The sequence below is a fragment of the Homo sapiens genome, chromosome 13 (genome assembly GCF_000001405.40).
Source record: "Homo sapiens chromosome 13, GRCh38.p14 Primary Assembly".
NCBI lineage: Eukaryota > Metazoa > Chordata > Mammalia > Primates > Hominidae > Homo > Homo sapiens.
In genome coordinates this window covers 82,411,111-82,429,390 of record NC_000013.11, presented here as the reverse complement: position 1 = coordinate 82,429,390, position 18,280 = coordinate 82,411,111, and the positions used below count along the sequence as shown (strand labels likewise).

The window sequence follows — 18,280 nt, the reverse complement described above, 5'->3', positions numbered from 1 at the left end:
TGTTAAATATCCCACCTTAATGGTATTTGAATATTGTGCTATAATTAGAAATATTTGACCCACATCAAGAATATAAGTGAAATTATTTGTGCCTTTTTTTTTTGAGACAGAGACTTGCTCTGTCACCCAGGCTGGAGTGCATTGGGGCAATCAAATGCTTTTTAAAAAGTTTTAAGACTCTTGTTGGCATCTTAACCTAGATTCATCAGGATTTTATTCTGATATAAGTTGGAAAAAAGGTTCTAGGTTTTTATCTTTTCTTTTGCTCCCTAAAAGCCCAGCTATTTTCCTCAGGTGTATATTCTATCTTTATCTCAAACTGATTTGAAATGTCATATATATAATGTGGTAAAGCAATTATATCATCTTAATTTTTTTTTGAAAAACAATGTATTCCTTCATTGTTTAAGAATGCGTGATCAAAAAATGTATCTCTATACTTGATTTATTTATTAACAAGTATCTGTGGAATATTATACAAATTATTTAATCTCTCATTACCTCTTTTGTTATATGTCAATAATAAAATTACTTGACTCATAGAAAAATTGTGTAGAAATATTTGCATATGCAAAGCTTGACACATAGTGGACACTCAATGAACCAACTGTAATTTTAATAGTGACTAAGATATTTAATTTTTTTAGATATTATAAAAAACTGTCTGGCACATAACACCATTCTCAAAGCTTTCATATAATTAAATTTTTCAAGAGAGTTAATTGGCATTTGAATTTAATTCAAGTTCTTTAAGCAAAAACTCACAAGACCTCTTTCTTCTCTCCACACAATTATGATCTTTCCCTCATTACAGATCGCTATGAAGTAGTTTTTAAAATACGAATTTCTGCCTTTTCCTGCTGATCACTAGGTGATTAGTTGTAACTCCTTTCACATCAGGATTAAAGTTGTGACCGGCTTTGGACTCCCTAGGGTCTGCCATGACTTTCAGCTGCATTTGGGCTGCTTTGTTTGCGTTTTACGAAACTTGTGAAAACATGTCTGTATCCACAAAGAGAGTGGTCCTTATCGTTATATTTCTTGCCATCATACTCTTGCTTTTTTTTCTCCATAATTTTTATTTATATCCCTACATAGCCATTTGCCTTTTCATTTAAGGGGTCTCCTTCAATCATTTCTCAGAAAGGCATTGGTCTCTGGTTGGTTCCAATATAAATAACTGTGATAAATGCAAAACATGGGACAAATGTTAATACAGCCTATGTTAGACACAACATGTGTAAAGTACTAACACAACATGTTAGTACACAACATGTGTAAAGAGATGTCACCTTCCCTGTGTACCCATCAATTACATGAAAGTCAAGAATGTCCTCATATAATTTTTAGTCTTTTGTGTTTCTTAATTAGATATTCTGATCAAGCAGTTTATCCACTTTTTAAGTGGCAAATTAAATATAGTTTTTTTTTTTTTTTAATTTAGCACCATTTACTATCCAAAGGCAGTCAACTCTTGGTCTGACACATTTGTCCTGATATATTTACCCAATGGTCTTTTAATTTTATTATTTTCAGAGAAGATCATTGTTCAGTTTGTTTGTTTGTTTGTTTGTTTGTTTGTTTTGAGACGGAGTCTCACTCTGTTGCCCAGGCTAGAAAGCAGTGGTGCAGTCTTGGCTCACTGCAATCTCTGCCTCCCAGGTTCAAGCGATTCTCCTGCCTCAGCCTCCTGAGTAGCTGGGATTACAGGCACCCACCACTATGCCTGGCTAATTTTTGTATCTTTAGTAGAGATGAGGTTTCACCATGTTGGCCAGGCTGGTCTCAAACTCCTGACTTCAGGTGATCTGCCCGCCTCAGCCTTCCAAAGTGTTGGGATTACAGGCATGAGCCACCATGCCCGGCCATTGTTTAGCTTTTATGAAGTCAAATCTAGAGCTCCATGCCACTGTGATGGCTTTATCTATAATATGACTTTCTCTTCCTATCTCTTCCTGGTTATCAGTAAGATCAACATTTATTTTTTTCAAGATGTTTATGATTTTATATATTTTAACTTTATTAATCAAATTTATAGTTATAACTGTGAAATCCCCTCCTTCTATGTTCCCAAAGCAGCATCTTAGAAGCCCATGCAAGAATTACTAGAAGATTGAATTCTGACTTTAGGGGGAAGAGCTCCACTGACCCACTGCCAGTGATACTGGTAATCACTCCTAGTGATCCCAGGGATACTGACAAAAACAATAAACAAATAAACATGCAAACAAAAACACAGCCTTCTGAAAATTCTTGAAATAATAGTCCCAGGATTGAAAAGCAAGTAAAGAAATTTTTATTCAAGACGTATAAAAATTGGTTAACAACAACAAAAAAAATGCTGAGAGACTGTGAGGCTATTTGCTTGCCACACAAATCCTTTAATATAACACATAGGACTATTGCCTCAAGTTAATGCATCAGATGGCAGAGAGTTTTTATCAGGGACAGGTGTTGCATATTATTAAAAGTTTTCTCTCCTTTATTTTGTATCATGATTAAATGCATTTTTTTCAATGTTATATCAACCTTAAATTCATAAAATAATCCCACGGTTTCTTAAAATTTTACTTAGGATTCTTTGCATTTTTGCCCTAGGAAAAAGTCAGCCTGTCTAGTACTATCAAGATAGGTTTTGATATGAATATTATTGTGGTGTTATTAAAAGAGTTGAGAGTATCTATTTTCTATTTTTTGAAAGACATGCTTATAATATAGGAATTACATTTTCTTCAAGAGTTTGAAATAATATACCAGTGAAGCCCTCTGGGCCTTATTTTATCTGGTTGTGAGGTGTTGGATTATGCATTCAAATATTCTAATAGTATGTAAATATGTAGATTTTTCTATATTTTTCCTTTTTGCATATATGATAATATTTTTCTCCACAAAAAATATTTTAGGTTACATTTGCTTTTCTTTTTTGCCTTCTTGATTTAAAAACTAGGGTAATTGATTTGGCTTTCTTCTTTAAACTGTAAATTTTCTTTTTAAAAATGTGTTAACTGATTCCATGTTTTATATGTTGAATTATTATTAATCTTTAACTCACGATATTTTGTTACCCTATTGTGATGTTATTTTTGGCCAATGAGTTTTTAGCAATTCGTGTCTTAATTTTGAAACCTTTGGAGACTTTCTAATTTTATTTTTTTCATATAGTTCCAAAATAATTTTTCAGTGGCAAATATGAGTTGAGTCATTTCAAACTTGTTGAAACTTGTTTTATGGGCAAGAATATGCTAAATTTTTGTTACATATATGTCAGGTACATTTTAAAACATGGTGTATTCTGCAGTTAACTGATGGCAGTTGACAGCTTTTTAAAGACATTAGGTTTAAAACAATTTGAGATTTACATAAAAATTGAGGATATATTACAAAGTTTCCATATAATCTGCACCCAGTTGCCACTGTTACAAACACTTTACATTAAGATAGTACATTTGTGTGACAAACATTATCTGTAGTTCCTTTGTTATTTAATTTTACAAATCCCACTCATTTCCAAAGGAAATTAGGTCAACACATTTTCCTACCACCCTTTTCAGTAAGGTTTATTCCTATATTTGTAATAGAATTAGGTTCTCTAAGAACAGTCTGATATATATATATATATGTCATATACATATTTATCAGATATATATGTCATATATATTTATCAGATACATGTCATATATATATCATATATATATATGATTTAGTCCTATGTGGGTGTTTACAATTATATAATGTCACATACCAAAATTATAGCTAAATAATAGTAGACTGTAGTAGTCTTAATAATGTCCCCAAAGAGATAAAGTCTTAATAGGTAACTATTACCTATGTGGCAAAGACTGAGGATGTTTTTAAATTAAGGATTTTGAGATCAGGAGGTTACTCAGAGTTATCATGGTGGGGGTTAAATGCAATTACATGTATCCTTACAGGAGGCAGACAGAGTGCGATGTGATAACACACCAAAGAGGTGATATGAAAATGGAGGGTACAGAAATTTGAAGATGTTGACCTTGAACTGGAGTGATGTGGCCACAAACTAAGAAATGTGGACACCCTCAGTAGGAGGAAGAAAGGAATGAATTGTCCCTCTAGAGAAACTGGTGAGAGCACAGGACTACAGACATCTTGATTTTGGCTTGCAAAATTATAAGGATTTCTACATGTTCCTCACTGAACATCTCATTTCTGCTTTATCACTAAATAACACCAATTGTATAGATGTACTGCACTTTGCTTTTTTATTCACCGATTAGAGGACACTCCATTGCTTCAAATTTTAGGGGTTTAGGAATAAAGCTGATATAAATTATCAAGTGTAGGTTTTTCTGTGGATGTGTGTTTTCAAAGCAATTGTGTAAATACCTAGGAGCACAACTGCCAATAGTCATTTTTTGACTCAATTTCTTTATTAGGTATAGGCCTATTCAGGTTGTTTATTTCTTCTTGTGTGTGTTTTGGAATATTGTGTCTTTTAAGAAATGTGTCCATTTCATCCAAGTTAGGGACATAGAGTCGCTCATAATATTCCCTTACTATTCTTTTATTATCCTTTTGATATGTAGTGATATCCCCTCTTTTATATCTGATGTTAGTAACTTGTGTCTTTCTTTTTTCCTTAGTTAGCCTGGTTAGAGGCTTATCAATTTTGTTGATCTTTCAAAGAACCAACTTTAGTTTAATTGATTATCCCTGTTGATTTTATGTTTCCACTTAATATATTTCTGCTTTAATTTTCATTGCTATTATTCTGTCTTGAAGTGATATTTTTATCTTGAATATTTGATTTTTGTCAGTGTTTTTGTATCACTTGATATATTCTTCTGATTATTTTTCTATGTCCTATTGATATGATAGATTCGAACAATTGCTCTTCAAATGGTGAAGGAACCTTGAATATCTGAAAAAAAATCACAACTGAACATGACATATAATACTACTTTTTACATTATTGAATTCACATTTGTTATGAACTGATTATTCTGATCCCGAAAACTCATATGTTTAAGTGCTGACCCCCAATGTGTCTCTATTTAGAGATCACATCTGTGAGGAGGTGATAAAGGTTAAATGAAGTCATAAAGAAAGGGTCCTAATATGATAAAGCTGGTGATGTCCTTATAAGAAGAGGACATGAACATAACACCTTTCAAAAGAAGGCATACAGATGGCCAACAATCATATGGAAAAAAAACTCAACCTCACCTATCATTAGCGTAATGCAAATCAAAACCACAATGAGATACCATCTAACACCAAGTGGAATGACCCTATTAAAAAAATCAAACTCTGGCGAGGTTGTGGAGAAAAAGGAATGGTTATACACTGTTGGTGGGAGTGTAAATCAGTTCAGCCATTGTGGGAGACAGTGTAGGATGATTCCTCAAAAGACAGATATCATTCAACCCAACAACCTCATTACTGAGTATATACCCTTAGGAATATAAGTCATTCTATTATAAAGACAAATGCACAGGTATGTTCATTGCAGCATTATTTACAATAGCAAAGACATGGAATCAACCTTAATGTCCATCAATGATGGATAGAATAAAGATAATGTGGTACATAAATATATATCGAATACTATGTAGCTATGTAAAAACAAGATCATGTCTTTTGCAGGGACATGGATGAAGCTTGAGGCCATTATCCTTAGCAAACTAATACAGTAACAGAGAACCAAATACTGCATGTTCTCACTTATAAGTGGGAGCTAAATGATGAGAACACATAAACACATAGAGGGGAACAACATGCACTGGGGCCTTTTGGGAGGCAGAAGGTGGGAAGAGGGAGAGGATCAGGAAAAAATAATTAATCAGTACTAGGCTTAAAGCCTGGCTGATAAAATAATCTGTACAAACAACCCCCATGACACAAGTTTTATTTATGTAACAAACCTGCACTAATAGCTTTGAACTTAAAATAAAAGTTAATAGAAAAAAAAGAAAGAAAGAAAAGGAAGAGATCCAGAGCTCTCCCTCTGTCATGGCAGGACACAATAAAAATTCCTTTGGTTTTTGTTTGTCTGAGGAAGTTTTTATTTTTCCTTCACTATTGACGAATAATGTAATGAGATGTAGAATTTGATATTGGTGGGTTTTTTTTTTTGTTTCTTTAACACAATTATTTGACTCCACTTTCTTCTTGCTTACATGGTTTCTGATGAGAAGTCAGATGCAATGATCATTACTTTTCTTTTATACTTCTTTTTTCCTTTCTGGATTATTTTAGATGTTTTGGTACGTATCATGCTTGGTGTCCACTAAATTTCCTGGATCTATGGTTGTTGGTCTGTCATTAATAATGACAAATATTATGCCATATTTACAAAATACAAATATTTTCTCTGCCTCTAGTTCTCTCTCTCTCTCTCCTCCTTCTGGTATTCCAATTAATTGTGATTAATTGTGTGTTACATCTTTGGAAATTGACCCAAATTTCTTCAGGATTCTGTTGTGTGTTTTAAATTATTTTTTCTATTTTCGTTTTAGTATGAGAAGATTCTATTGGCAGATTTCAAATGTATTATACTTTCTTTGACCATATCTATCTTACTGAAGAGTTCATCAAAGACATTTTTTTATTTTTGTTGTAGTTTTTTTGAAAAATTTCTACCAATTTATTGTGCTTCTTCGAGTTTCAGTGTCTCTTTTTCATTAACCATCTGTTCTTATAATGTTGCCTACATTTTTTATTAAGGTCTTCCACTGATTCATTATATTACTTTAAATTCTTTGTCTAATAATTCCAAAATCTGTATCACATCTCAGTCTGTTTCTGATGTTTGTTTTGTATCTTTGAACTATGTTTTTCTTGCTTTTTTCATAACTTATAATTTTCTGTTGGTAACCACTGTTATGTAATAGAAACTGAAGAAATGCATTTTTAATGTCAGATATTATGTTAATCTGCTAGGAGTTAGGCTGTGTTTAATTTTTTTCTGTGGCTATAGGTACAGAGGTTTCAGCCCTGATATTCTTGTTTTTATTGACTTTTGTGTTTATAATTGTTTAGTAATACTTTCTTAATTACACATTGCACCTTGCAATACTTTCAACTGTAGTCCTCTGTTACAATACTAGAGCCCTATTGATAGGATAGGTGTGGGAGTGAGCAGCATTCTATTTTCTTATGATTAAATCTCAGACTTTTAGTGGTCTCACGTGCCTGGGTGTAACTTTCACAAGTGTTTCTTTGCCCGTCCTATAGCTGAGACAAGATAGCTATAAGGAGGCTAGAGTTGAGTCTATCCTACCTCTATGTTGTGTAAGATTTTGGTAAAATTAAAATTAAATATAGAATATTACATATATAAGAAAATAAACCTCCCATATTCTAAATATTAATTTTACTATTCTGACCCAAAATAAACCTTTAGCTTAAAAATTAGAAAGATAAGACTGAATAAACCCAAGGTATGTAATATAGGTGAGATCTTAAATCAGTGAGATGAAAAATGAAACTACAATAAATATAACATAAAGGCAAAAGTTAACTCAAAAGTTTCATAAGCCATCAAAATTCTTTAAACAGAAAAAAGAGTAAGACATCCAATCTATATTATAATTACAAAGAGTACATAAAGATATGCTCCCAACTTTTAAGAATAAAAAGAAGTATTTTTTAAATAATGCTGGTATATTTTTTAAAAATGTAAAACTAAAAACATACTGAAATTAGAGAAGAAAGTTTGGCTACAATCATTCCATGGTAGAAAGTACTTTTATTAACAGCAAACACCTAAATGCCTTCTAATTCTACAAACAAAACTTTGTATAACGATTCTTTTCCCTGAAGTTTGTCATGGAAAGGTTAAAGCTACTCTTCTTTTTTTTTTAATTATTATTGTTATACTTTAAGTTCTAGGGTACGTGTGCACAACGTGCAGTTTTGTTTCTTATGTATACATGTGCCATGTTGCTGTGCTGCACCCATTAACTCGTCATTTACGTTAGGCATATCTGCTAATTCTATCCCTCCCCACTCCCCTCACCCCATGACAGGCCCCAGTGTGTGATGTTCCCCTTCCTGTGTCCAAGTGTTCTCATTGTTCAATTCCCACCTATGAGTGAGAACATGCGGTGTTTGGTTTTTTGTCCTTGTGACAGTTTGCTGAGAATGATGGTTTCCAGCTTCATCCATGTCCCTACAAAGGACATGAACTCATTATTTTTTATGGCTGCATAGTATTCCATGGTGTATATGTGCCACATTTTCTTAATCCAGTCTATCATTGTTGGACATTTGGGTTGGTTCCAAGTCTTTGCTATTGTGAATAGTGCCACAATAAACATACGTGTGCATGTGTCTTTATAGCAGCATGATTTATAATCCTTTGGGTATATACTCAGTAATGGGATGGCTGGGTCAAATGGTATTTCCAGTTCTAGATCCTTGAGGAATCGCCACACTGTCTTCCACAATGGTTGAACTAGTTTACAGTCCCACCAACAGTGTAAAAGTGTTCCTATTTCTCCACATCCTCTCCAGCACCTGTTGTTTCCTGACTTTTTAATGATCGCCGTTCTAACTGGTGTGAGATGGTACCTCATTGTGGTTTTGATTTGCATTTCTCTGATGGCCAGTGATGACGAGCATTTATTCATGTGTCTGTTGGCTTCATAAATGTCTTCTTTTAAGAAGTGTCTGTTCATATCCTTCACCCACTATTTGATGGGGTTGTTAGTTTTTTTCTTGTAAATTTGTTTGAGTTCATTGTAGATTCTGGATATTAGCCCTTTGTCAGATGAGTAGATTGCAAAAATTTTCTCCCATTCTGTAGGTTGCCTGTTCACTCTGATGGTAGTTTCTTTTGCTGTGCAGAAGCTCTTTGAGCTAGATCATAAGTGGGCTTCCCCTAAAACCAAAGAAGAGAGGAACATTGTTAGAGGCCTTCACACTCTTTAAAACCCTCAGGACCTTCACACTACTGAATGAAAGTGAATGAGGAGGATAGATAATGTTTGAAAATTCATTTATCCAACAGTTTGGCCCAGTAAAAATTTGTGGTTATATATTGATTTTAAAGGAAATAATGTATATTATTTACATTATTATATAAATATATTATATGTATATATTATTATGTTATAATAATAGACATTATATTTTGATCGGTAACACAAGTTTTTGGTCTGCCATTTGTATCTTCCAGATTTTCACACTGTATTTCTTATAAATAAGACAATGAAGCCTAAATTGTTAGATTAATTGTTTAAGTCTTGAAGTTTATTTTGGGTGTCAGTGCACTTTTGTATGTGCTATTATTACATCCTTACAAAAGTTAAAATTTTTTTTCAAGAAATAAGTTACTTGAGAAAATGATATGTTAACAAGGTCATTGTAACCATAAACTGTGAAACCACAAATCAAAATAGCTTACTGATTATTGTAAAATATTTCTGAAAATTTTAACAATATTAAATCAACAATAACATAACAAGTTCTTTTTTATAAAAGGTTTACTCTTTTATACCAGGCCTTCTTTCATAATCAGCTTGTTTCATAGTTTACATTACCATGTTAAATGGAAAACTTATAGCCAAATTAATTTCCAAAGAGTTTAATTAAGTCAACAAGGATTCGTGAGTTTGGCAGCATCCTGAGCCAGCATAGGCTCAGAGACTCCAGCGCAGCTACGTGGTGGAAGAGGATTTGTTACAGAAAAAGGAAAGTGACACACAGAAAATGGAAACGAGTTACAGAAACAGCCAGATTGGTTACAGCTTGGCATTTGCCTTATTTGAGTGTGAAGAATTGGCCACCTTTGATTGGCCAAAACTTGGTGTTTGGCACAAGAGTGGGCTACAATCTGTGTACGATTCCATTTAGGTTATAGTTCACTATGTAAAGAGAAACCTTTAGACCGAACTTAAAACATGTAAGGAGGCAGCTTTAGGCTACACTTGATTTAACAATAATTTTTCCCTAAAACTATCAATGTTGATGTGCTCAAATATATCCTAGAAAATTATAAACAAAGCTAAAAACAAGAGGATATATAAAGTTATATAATAAAATGAAAATTAATAATGTCACATCTAGATTGGATTCATGAAGTAAACAATACAATTTAATAGAAGTCAAGGAACCATTATTAGATAAATGATAGTAATGTTTTAATTTTCAGTGAACACTGGGATTAATAAATGGAGAGATTCATATTTTCTGTAGAATGCTTTGTGAAAAGTTTCAATGTTATAAGCCAGAAAATAACTCAAATATTGACACAAGGGCTAAAATTCCTGCTTTGAGTCAGTCTTGAGGGTTTGCTGAAAAGCAGCAGAAATGGACACTGCTGCTTAGATGTGCTCCTGTCTTAAGCCCAGTCATTCACTGGCTGCATTTTTTTCTTTTTCTTTTTCTTTTTTTTTTTTAGTGATTTATTTTAGTTTCTTCTTTTCACTTTGTTAAGTGAAAGTTTGAAGAATTGTATTGGAAACTTTTTGGTAACTCTGAAACCTGAATGACTTTCAGAGCTTATTGCAACATGATTAGAAAAATCTACCACCTGGAAATTATCAAAATGCATAATGGCCAGGTGAGTAAGACATTCACGGAAGCTGGCGTGCCTGGTAGTAAAATAGAGAAATTTAATACAGAAAACTAGTGACAAAGTTGATGGGAAGCTAAAGGAAAATAGGATGGTGAGTTACCTCTGAGATCTGCGGTATCAAAAAGCCACTGGTACTCCTAGAACTAAAGGATCAGAAAAAGTTTTGTGATACGTTCAGAGCTAGAGAGCTAGGGTGTCCAGCTAAGGCTGGAATCATGGAGGAAATGTAGTAACTTATTAGAAATGCTACTCAAAATACGGAAGAGGAAGATAAATACTTTCTCTTCTCCTTTCTTCCTACTCTATACTGCTAGTCTCTACTACTATACAAACGCAAGAGGAAGCCTCTGGGAAAAGACATCTGGAAAATGTAGTTTGTAAGATGCAGCCTTCTGTATCAGAGAGGAGAGAATGAAAGGATGATGAATAAATCTTAAAGAAAAAAGAAAAATGTGCATCATTTTATTTCTGTTAGTGGCTAAATTATTCAGAAAAATTTGCCAAATAATTTTAAATGCTGTAAAATATTTTTAAAAATGTAAAGCACATCTATATAAGATTGAAGACACAAATCAGGGTACAATTAAAGATAAATAGAAACACAGAAATCAGTGATGCACAAGAACACTAAATCAGCTTTTTATGCAGCTATGAAATTTGTCAGTATCATAAACGTTGGGCTTTAGTTTTGTTGATCACCTGGGATGAGGAATATCAGTTATGTCACCATTGTGAATCTTTTATAGCATAAAAATCTAACAGGAAGACCCTCACAATGTTAGCTCAGGCTAAAACTGAACCTGAAAAAGTCCACCCCACACCCTTCCAAAGAGAAGAGCAGAGAAAGGTTAATTTTCACTAAGGGGAAACTGGAGATAAAAAAGAAATAGCTGCCTCTGAGATTAAGGCATTTATCTCACATGGATTTGGAGCGTGGATCCATACAATCTGTGTGATTGAGCTCATCCGGATTAGCAGTACTGCAGATTTCTGGCGAATTGAAACACAAATGCCCTCTAAGAAATATACCTTTGTCCCAAACCTAAAAACTTCCCAAATAATTTTTCAAAGACAATGATCCAACAGGGTAAAATCAAATCAAACATATGTTTCCAAATAACTTGTTATTATACTTCCAGAGAGTCTTGTTTATATGTGGCCTCTCAAATTGCCATTTAAAGTTTAGAATAAGCCTGTTAAGTTTCATCAATAAAAGATTCAAATGCAAGAAGTACATTTGTGAGTTGATCATGAGGAAAAGAGGCAAAGGAGCAAGCAAGGTGAGGCTGGGAATGAAAATAGGCCAGGCATGGTGGCTCACACCTGTAATCTTAGTGTGTTGGGAGGCTGAGGCAGGAGGAGCACTTGAGGCCAGGAGTTTTGGGGCCAGCCTGGGAAACATAGTGTGATTCCATCTCTGTAAAAAAGAAAAAAAAAATTAAACAGGCACAGTGGCATACCTCTAGTTATAGCTACTTGAGAGGCTGATGTGGGAGGATCACTTGAGCACAGGAATTCGAGGCTATAGTGAGATATGACTGTGCCACTGCATTAAAACAAAAAACAAAAACAAAGAAAAAACTAAAATCCAAACAATTTTGGTCCAAAGCATTTTGGATAAGATTAGTAAAATGTTTAACAAAAGGTTTTATTTTGGTCAAATTTATTATCTCGGAAAAAATTTTAACACTTCATTTTGTATCATGTGTGCTGGAGAATTCTTGTAGAGATTGTTTATAAGATTTGAGAAGCTATTTTCATTATGAATGGATTTTAAATTCTATAAACACTTTTAGTGCTAATATTAACACAATTTTATGAATATCTCCTCTTTTCTGTGAATAATATGAGTTGTGTGTGCAAGTTAAAAAATGGATAGTACTTTCAGTACAGTGACATTCAGGATGGACTTGAAGGACAGTGGAAAGGAAAAATTATTCCAGTAGACGATAAAACTTCAAGTGCTTCCCACTTTCATTGGTTTTTTTGTATGGAGGATCAAGCTGAGAATACATATTGACTCTCAGGAAGCGGCCAAAGAGCTGGTTGACTGTTAGGATCCTGTAAGGAAAAGAACTAGGCAGAAACAAATCCGTGCATCAAAATATGGGAGAGAATATATGATGTTAACATCCTTATATCACATTTTTTAATCCACCTGAAGACAACTGTAGTTGTAGAGGCACTGAATGACTGGCTGATTTTCAAATTTTTAGACCATCTTGATTCTCTCAAATAAACAAAATATAGTTTTGAATTTTTTCATCTTTAAGAAATGAGGATTAAAGCTGCATCTTAACATTGTTTTACATAGTACTAAATTAATTCAAAAGCAAAAATACTTTTAACATATTGCAGAATTTTATTTGCATATATTCCCATAACTGACAGAGGGCTTTCTCTACTGGATAGCAGTTACATTAATTAAGGCATTATATTATTGACCAGAAATGAAGAGATACACTATTGTGACAGAATAGTGAATAATGGACTTGTACATATGTTGCTTCTATATTTATAAAAATGGTGTAAACACTAAACTATGAGGAAAGTTTTGATTTTTTTTCAAAAAAATAATGCTTTCTTATTTGGAATAAAATGTGAAACATCCCATCTTACACAATATTAAATAAAAATATAAAAATACATAGATGATTATAGAGATTATCTGCATGATTGTAAAGTAGAAAAAGTTTTCATAAATAGGATGTCAAGTCACTAATACGAAGAAAAGATTGATAAGTTGGACCAGTTCAAATTAAGAATTTCTTCACCTTTAGGAAAATGAGAATGTAAGCTGAATTCACAGGGTACTAAATTAATTCAAGATTCCCCTGAAGAGGAAAGCAAGATAAAAAATACTCAGGGATTAACTAATACATCTGCTATGGCTCTTGACGTTGAAGAAAAAGGAAAGCTGATTTAAAAATAACTATAGCTTTTCTTTTTGTTTTTTCTTTTTTTAAAATAGTTGTCCAAAATGATTTTGACTTGATTTAGTTTGGGTAATCTTGATAATAATACCAGGTAGCTTTCAAATTTCTTGCCTGTAAAATTTATTTATATACACTAACCTACATTTCTAAATCTATGCCACTCTAAAGGAATTTTTATATAAACTATTCTAAATAAATAATCTTTATCCCAAACTACAAACCAAATCAAAATTTATGCTCAGATTTTGAGCTAAATTATAATCCCATTCACAAGGAAATGACCATCTCCACACCACTTCAGCCTTTCCTCTTAGACTGTCTCCAAAAGTGCCTTTTGTTTAAATGTTTAAAGAAAAATGTTTAAAGAAAAATATACTACAGTTTTTTTTAAATTTTTATTTTTTATAAAGACAAGATCTCACTATTTTGCTCAAGCTGATCACAAACTCCTGGCCTGGAGCAACCCTCTTCTTTCTACAGTACTTAGTTTCAAATTGTTTTCTTGCATTTTTTCCAAACGCCCTTTCCTTTTACTTTCTTATTGATCTGATCCTTCAGGCCTTGTTTATACTTTGAGCTGTTTCCACTGTGGCAGGAGTCTTATCTTTGTGAGAATGGACTCTAGGTGAAGTCTTACAGCTTCTTCTCAATGCTATGGAGGCTCTGCTTTCTCTGTTCATCCATCACCTTTTGCCAGGATGAAATAAATAATACATGGAATGAAATAAATTGTGACTTTTAGTTTTTTCTGACATCTATGTATGTTTTAATTTTTCTCTGTATCTCTCTGTATTCTTGTTAGAAAGAGTGTATAGGAGACTTGGATGCGAACTGCCATTATTGGGCTCACACCAAAGGACGACTGCGGGAGGCCAGTTATGGCACCCTAAAATATACATTTGAAGCTTATTTACAGCACATTATATTGAGAAACTACAGACACAGGAGTAGCTCTGAAAAGCTGTCCTTTCACAAAGAGAATGAACTTGTGTAAAGAAAATCTAGGTAAGTAACCGTATCTGTATCAGAAAGAAGTTTGCTCCAGACAACTTTTATTACCGGATAGACTTTTTATCTGTATAACAAGATTAACTTTATTCCCCATACATTTCCTCTCCTTCTTGACCCCATAACTTGTCTCCACTCTGACCCCTCAGAAGCCCAAATCCCCTTTTCCTTCCTGCAACTTAGGATACTACATAAGCTTCAATCATCTGGTTGTTCTTTGAGTCTCATATTCTGTGGGACTATCAGGGGTACTTAGGAAATTAATTGTGGGTTTTCTCCTGTTGATCTGTCTTATGTCAATTTAATTTGTAGATCAGCCAAAGAACCTAGGAGGTTGGAGGAAAGAAATTTTTCTCTTGCCTACACCATCATCCTCTAGAATTGATTCCACTCACGAAGACTGAAATGGATCCATGCTTGGAGAAATTAATTGTGTGAGAGAAGTTGTAACGAGCAGAGTTTGCCAGCTGACCATAACAATAGAATAGAATCTGCTCTGAAAATAAATGTTGCTATCACCCACTGCTCATCACTGTGAGTAAAAAGGATATCAAGTAGTTGAATATAATGACCTATTATTGAGAAAATTGTTGTTTTTCAGATATCTACATGGGCCACACATCGTTCAGGCCTATGAAAGTGGAGCCCTCTAGCTAACTCTAGCCACAAGTGACAAGAAGTGGACATACATGAACATTTAAGAAGACAATGAGAAGTAAAAGTAAATATTTCAGGAAAAATAATTTTAAAATTCAAAATCAAATCAATAAGAAAAAAATTATAATAAATACTTGGCTCACATATGTATAGTTCAATTCTTAACTATGTTAGCTAAAATATATATCTTCATAACTGGTAGACTATATCCACTGCACAAGTGAGACTAATTCCAATAATGTAAGCAAGTTTCAGTATTGGAAATCATATTTACTATATTAATAGAGCCGAGGAGGAATAGCATATACCTATTAACAAACTCTGAAAAAAAAATTTTATAAGATTCCAATCCTTTTCTAAGTAAATGTCTCAGTTAATCAGAATTAAATTATTATTTTTCTAACATTCCACAGAACAAAATCTCAACAATGGAGTCATATATTTTTCTCTGCTGTGTTTAAGAAAAGAAAGCATATAAATTGTGATTCTTAATATTAAGTACTATATTGAAGCAGTAGTCAATGCATTTAGTTAAGACCAGCTATTGGAGTAATAAGGCTTAGAAAAGGAGGCAGAACTATCTCTGTTCACTTATGACAAAACAGAATGTTCAGGAAAAAAAAGACAAAATCAATAAGTAAAATATTAAATACCATAAGAACATTCATTAAGGTAATAGGATGTAAAATCTACATACAGAAATGAATCATATGTATGTATACAAATGATGTGGTAAGACATAAAATAAGGCACATAACAAAATGTGAAAGTCTTAGCAATAAAATGAAGTAGAAAGTGCAAAGTCTACACACCTAAAACTTTAAAGTACTTATGAGACACACCAAAGTACATTTGAATGATGGGAAATTCATACCAGGTGCAACAACATAGAGATGTCTCTTTTTCCAAGATTAATTTATACATTAAATTAAATCTGAACAAAATCTCAAATTATTTCTTTCTAAAGCTATCCAAGTTAGCTAAAGAATTTATATACAAGTGATAGCTATGAGTAGCCAAAAAAAAAAAACTGAAAAATAACAATAGAGTGGGGGTCAGCCTCTTGAGATACTAAAGCATACTAGAAAGTATTTGGATTACATGATATTACAATACACCACATGTACAATAGAAATAAAGGTGTCTAATGCATAAAGTAAAACTGACTGAAATGTCAGCGTAACCGAATAAATGAATATGGAGAAAAGAAGACCTGATAAATTCAGCTTGCATCACTGGAGTCGATAGAGAAGCCAGAGGTCAAAGGGTGAGTACTAGAATCCACATGTGGCAACTGTCACCACACAGAGAAAGTCAAAGACACTCTGGAAACTGCCATATCTTATTGTCACCAACACGGAGAGGTCTGTGAAGCTGCTATATCTGGCCACCACATCAGTTCAAGAATAAACACGTTTAACTTTGGCCTTCCAAAGTTCATTCAGAGTTCCTCTCATTTAACAACTCTAAACCAAAAAGAGGAACATCAAAAAGATTCTAATAAACATGTTAGCAAAATTATAAGGGATTGTTTCTAGTGTAAAGTTGACAGCAGAAAATCCACCAAAGTAGATAGTTATGTGAAAGAGTGAGGCATTAGCTTATGAATATGTATGTGTGTGCCTACATGGACATACATATGTGTGCACACTGTGTACGTTTGTGCGCATACACACTAATGGATCAGAAAATAGTCCAGTATATAGAGAAACTTTCTATATATTAATGAAAAGCATCTAAAAGTATCAGGTAACAAAGTGGAATTTAAAAATAATGTTGAAAAAAGGATACTGGCTTTAAAAAATTCCATCAAGTAATCTTCAATTGAATATTAGTTAAAAATTTTAAAAGAAATTGCAAAGGAAAAAAATTACAAAGTAAAGAAAGAGATTTTGTTTAAATGAAATTCAATGTCAATAAAGTATTTATAACTTTTCCATATAAAGGCTAAAAGTACTGATATGGCAACAACACTCCAATCAGACTCAAAATGCAAAGGAAAAATTAGTAAATGTTTTTCACTAATATCACTAAAAATAATACCTGTAGGGATCAAAACATAAAAGACCAATAACTCAATAAAAATTGACCAAAATTTATGAACAGATTAGTTCAGAGATAAATGAAAGCAGCTATTAGCATATTTAATCTCACGCATAATTATATAAATCCAAATTATTATTACCTTTAGGTAATATTTCATTTATAATATCTACAAATTTCTATATGTTTGACAATGTGCCATTGTTATCAGCCTACAGAAAAACAAAACACTGATACTAAAACATGCCATATCATCAAAGTGCATTGCTCTGCAGCTATTTAAAAGATACAGAATTAAAGATAACTCTATATTTTGAAAATAAAATGAAATCAATAATTTATTGTTAGTAAGCACAACAAAATAGAAAATATTTTCTATAGCTTTGCTTTAAGAAAGTCTGTGTGTGTGTGTGTGTGTGTGTGTGTATAATTAGTTTCTTCGGGGTGCTGTAACCTGTCTGTAAAAACGTGGCTTAAAACAGAATTTTTTTTTCATATTCTGGAGGCCAGAAGTTTAAAATTCAATTGTTGGCAGGGCTAGTCTCCCTTCAAAAGCCGTAAGTATTAATCATTTCTTGTTTCTTTCACCTTCTGGAAGCCCGTGGCATTTCTTGGCTTGTGGCAGTATGTCTCCAGTCTCTGTCTCTCTCTTCACGTGTGTCTTCAGATAGGCTTCTTCTCTGTGCTCCTGTGTCTCAAATCTCCCTCTCCTGTCTCATAAAAGGACAACAGTCATAGGAATCAAGGCCTATCCAAAATGCACTATGCTCTTATCTTGAGATCTTTTTTTTTTTTTTTTTTTTGAGACGGAGTCTCGCTCTGTCGCCCAGGCTGGAGTGCAGTGGCACGATCTCGGCTCACTGCAAGCTCTGCCTCCTGGGTTCACGACATTCTCCTGCCTCAGCCTCCCGAGAAGCTGGGACTACAGGCACCCGCCACCACGCCCAGCTAATTTTTTGTATTTTTAGTAGAGACAGGGTTTCACCGCGTTAGCCAGGATGGTCTCGATTTCCCGACCTCGTGATCCACCTGCCTCGGCCTCCCAAAGTGCTGGGATTACAGGCGTGAGCCACCG

General features: G+C 33.4%; 1 annotated feature.

The window, feature by feature from the left end:
• Nucleotides 14,030–14,230: a silencer, noted in NCBI's record as "peak2090 fragment used in MPRA reporter construct". NCBI's record gives its function as "represses an SCP1 promoter by STARR-seq MPRAs in K562 erythroleukemia cells {active_cell/tissue: K562}" and the evidence as "EXISTENCE:reporter gene assay evidence [ECO:0000049][PMID:32103011]".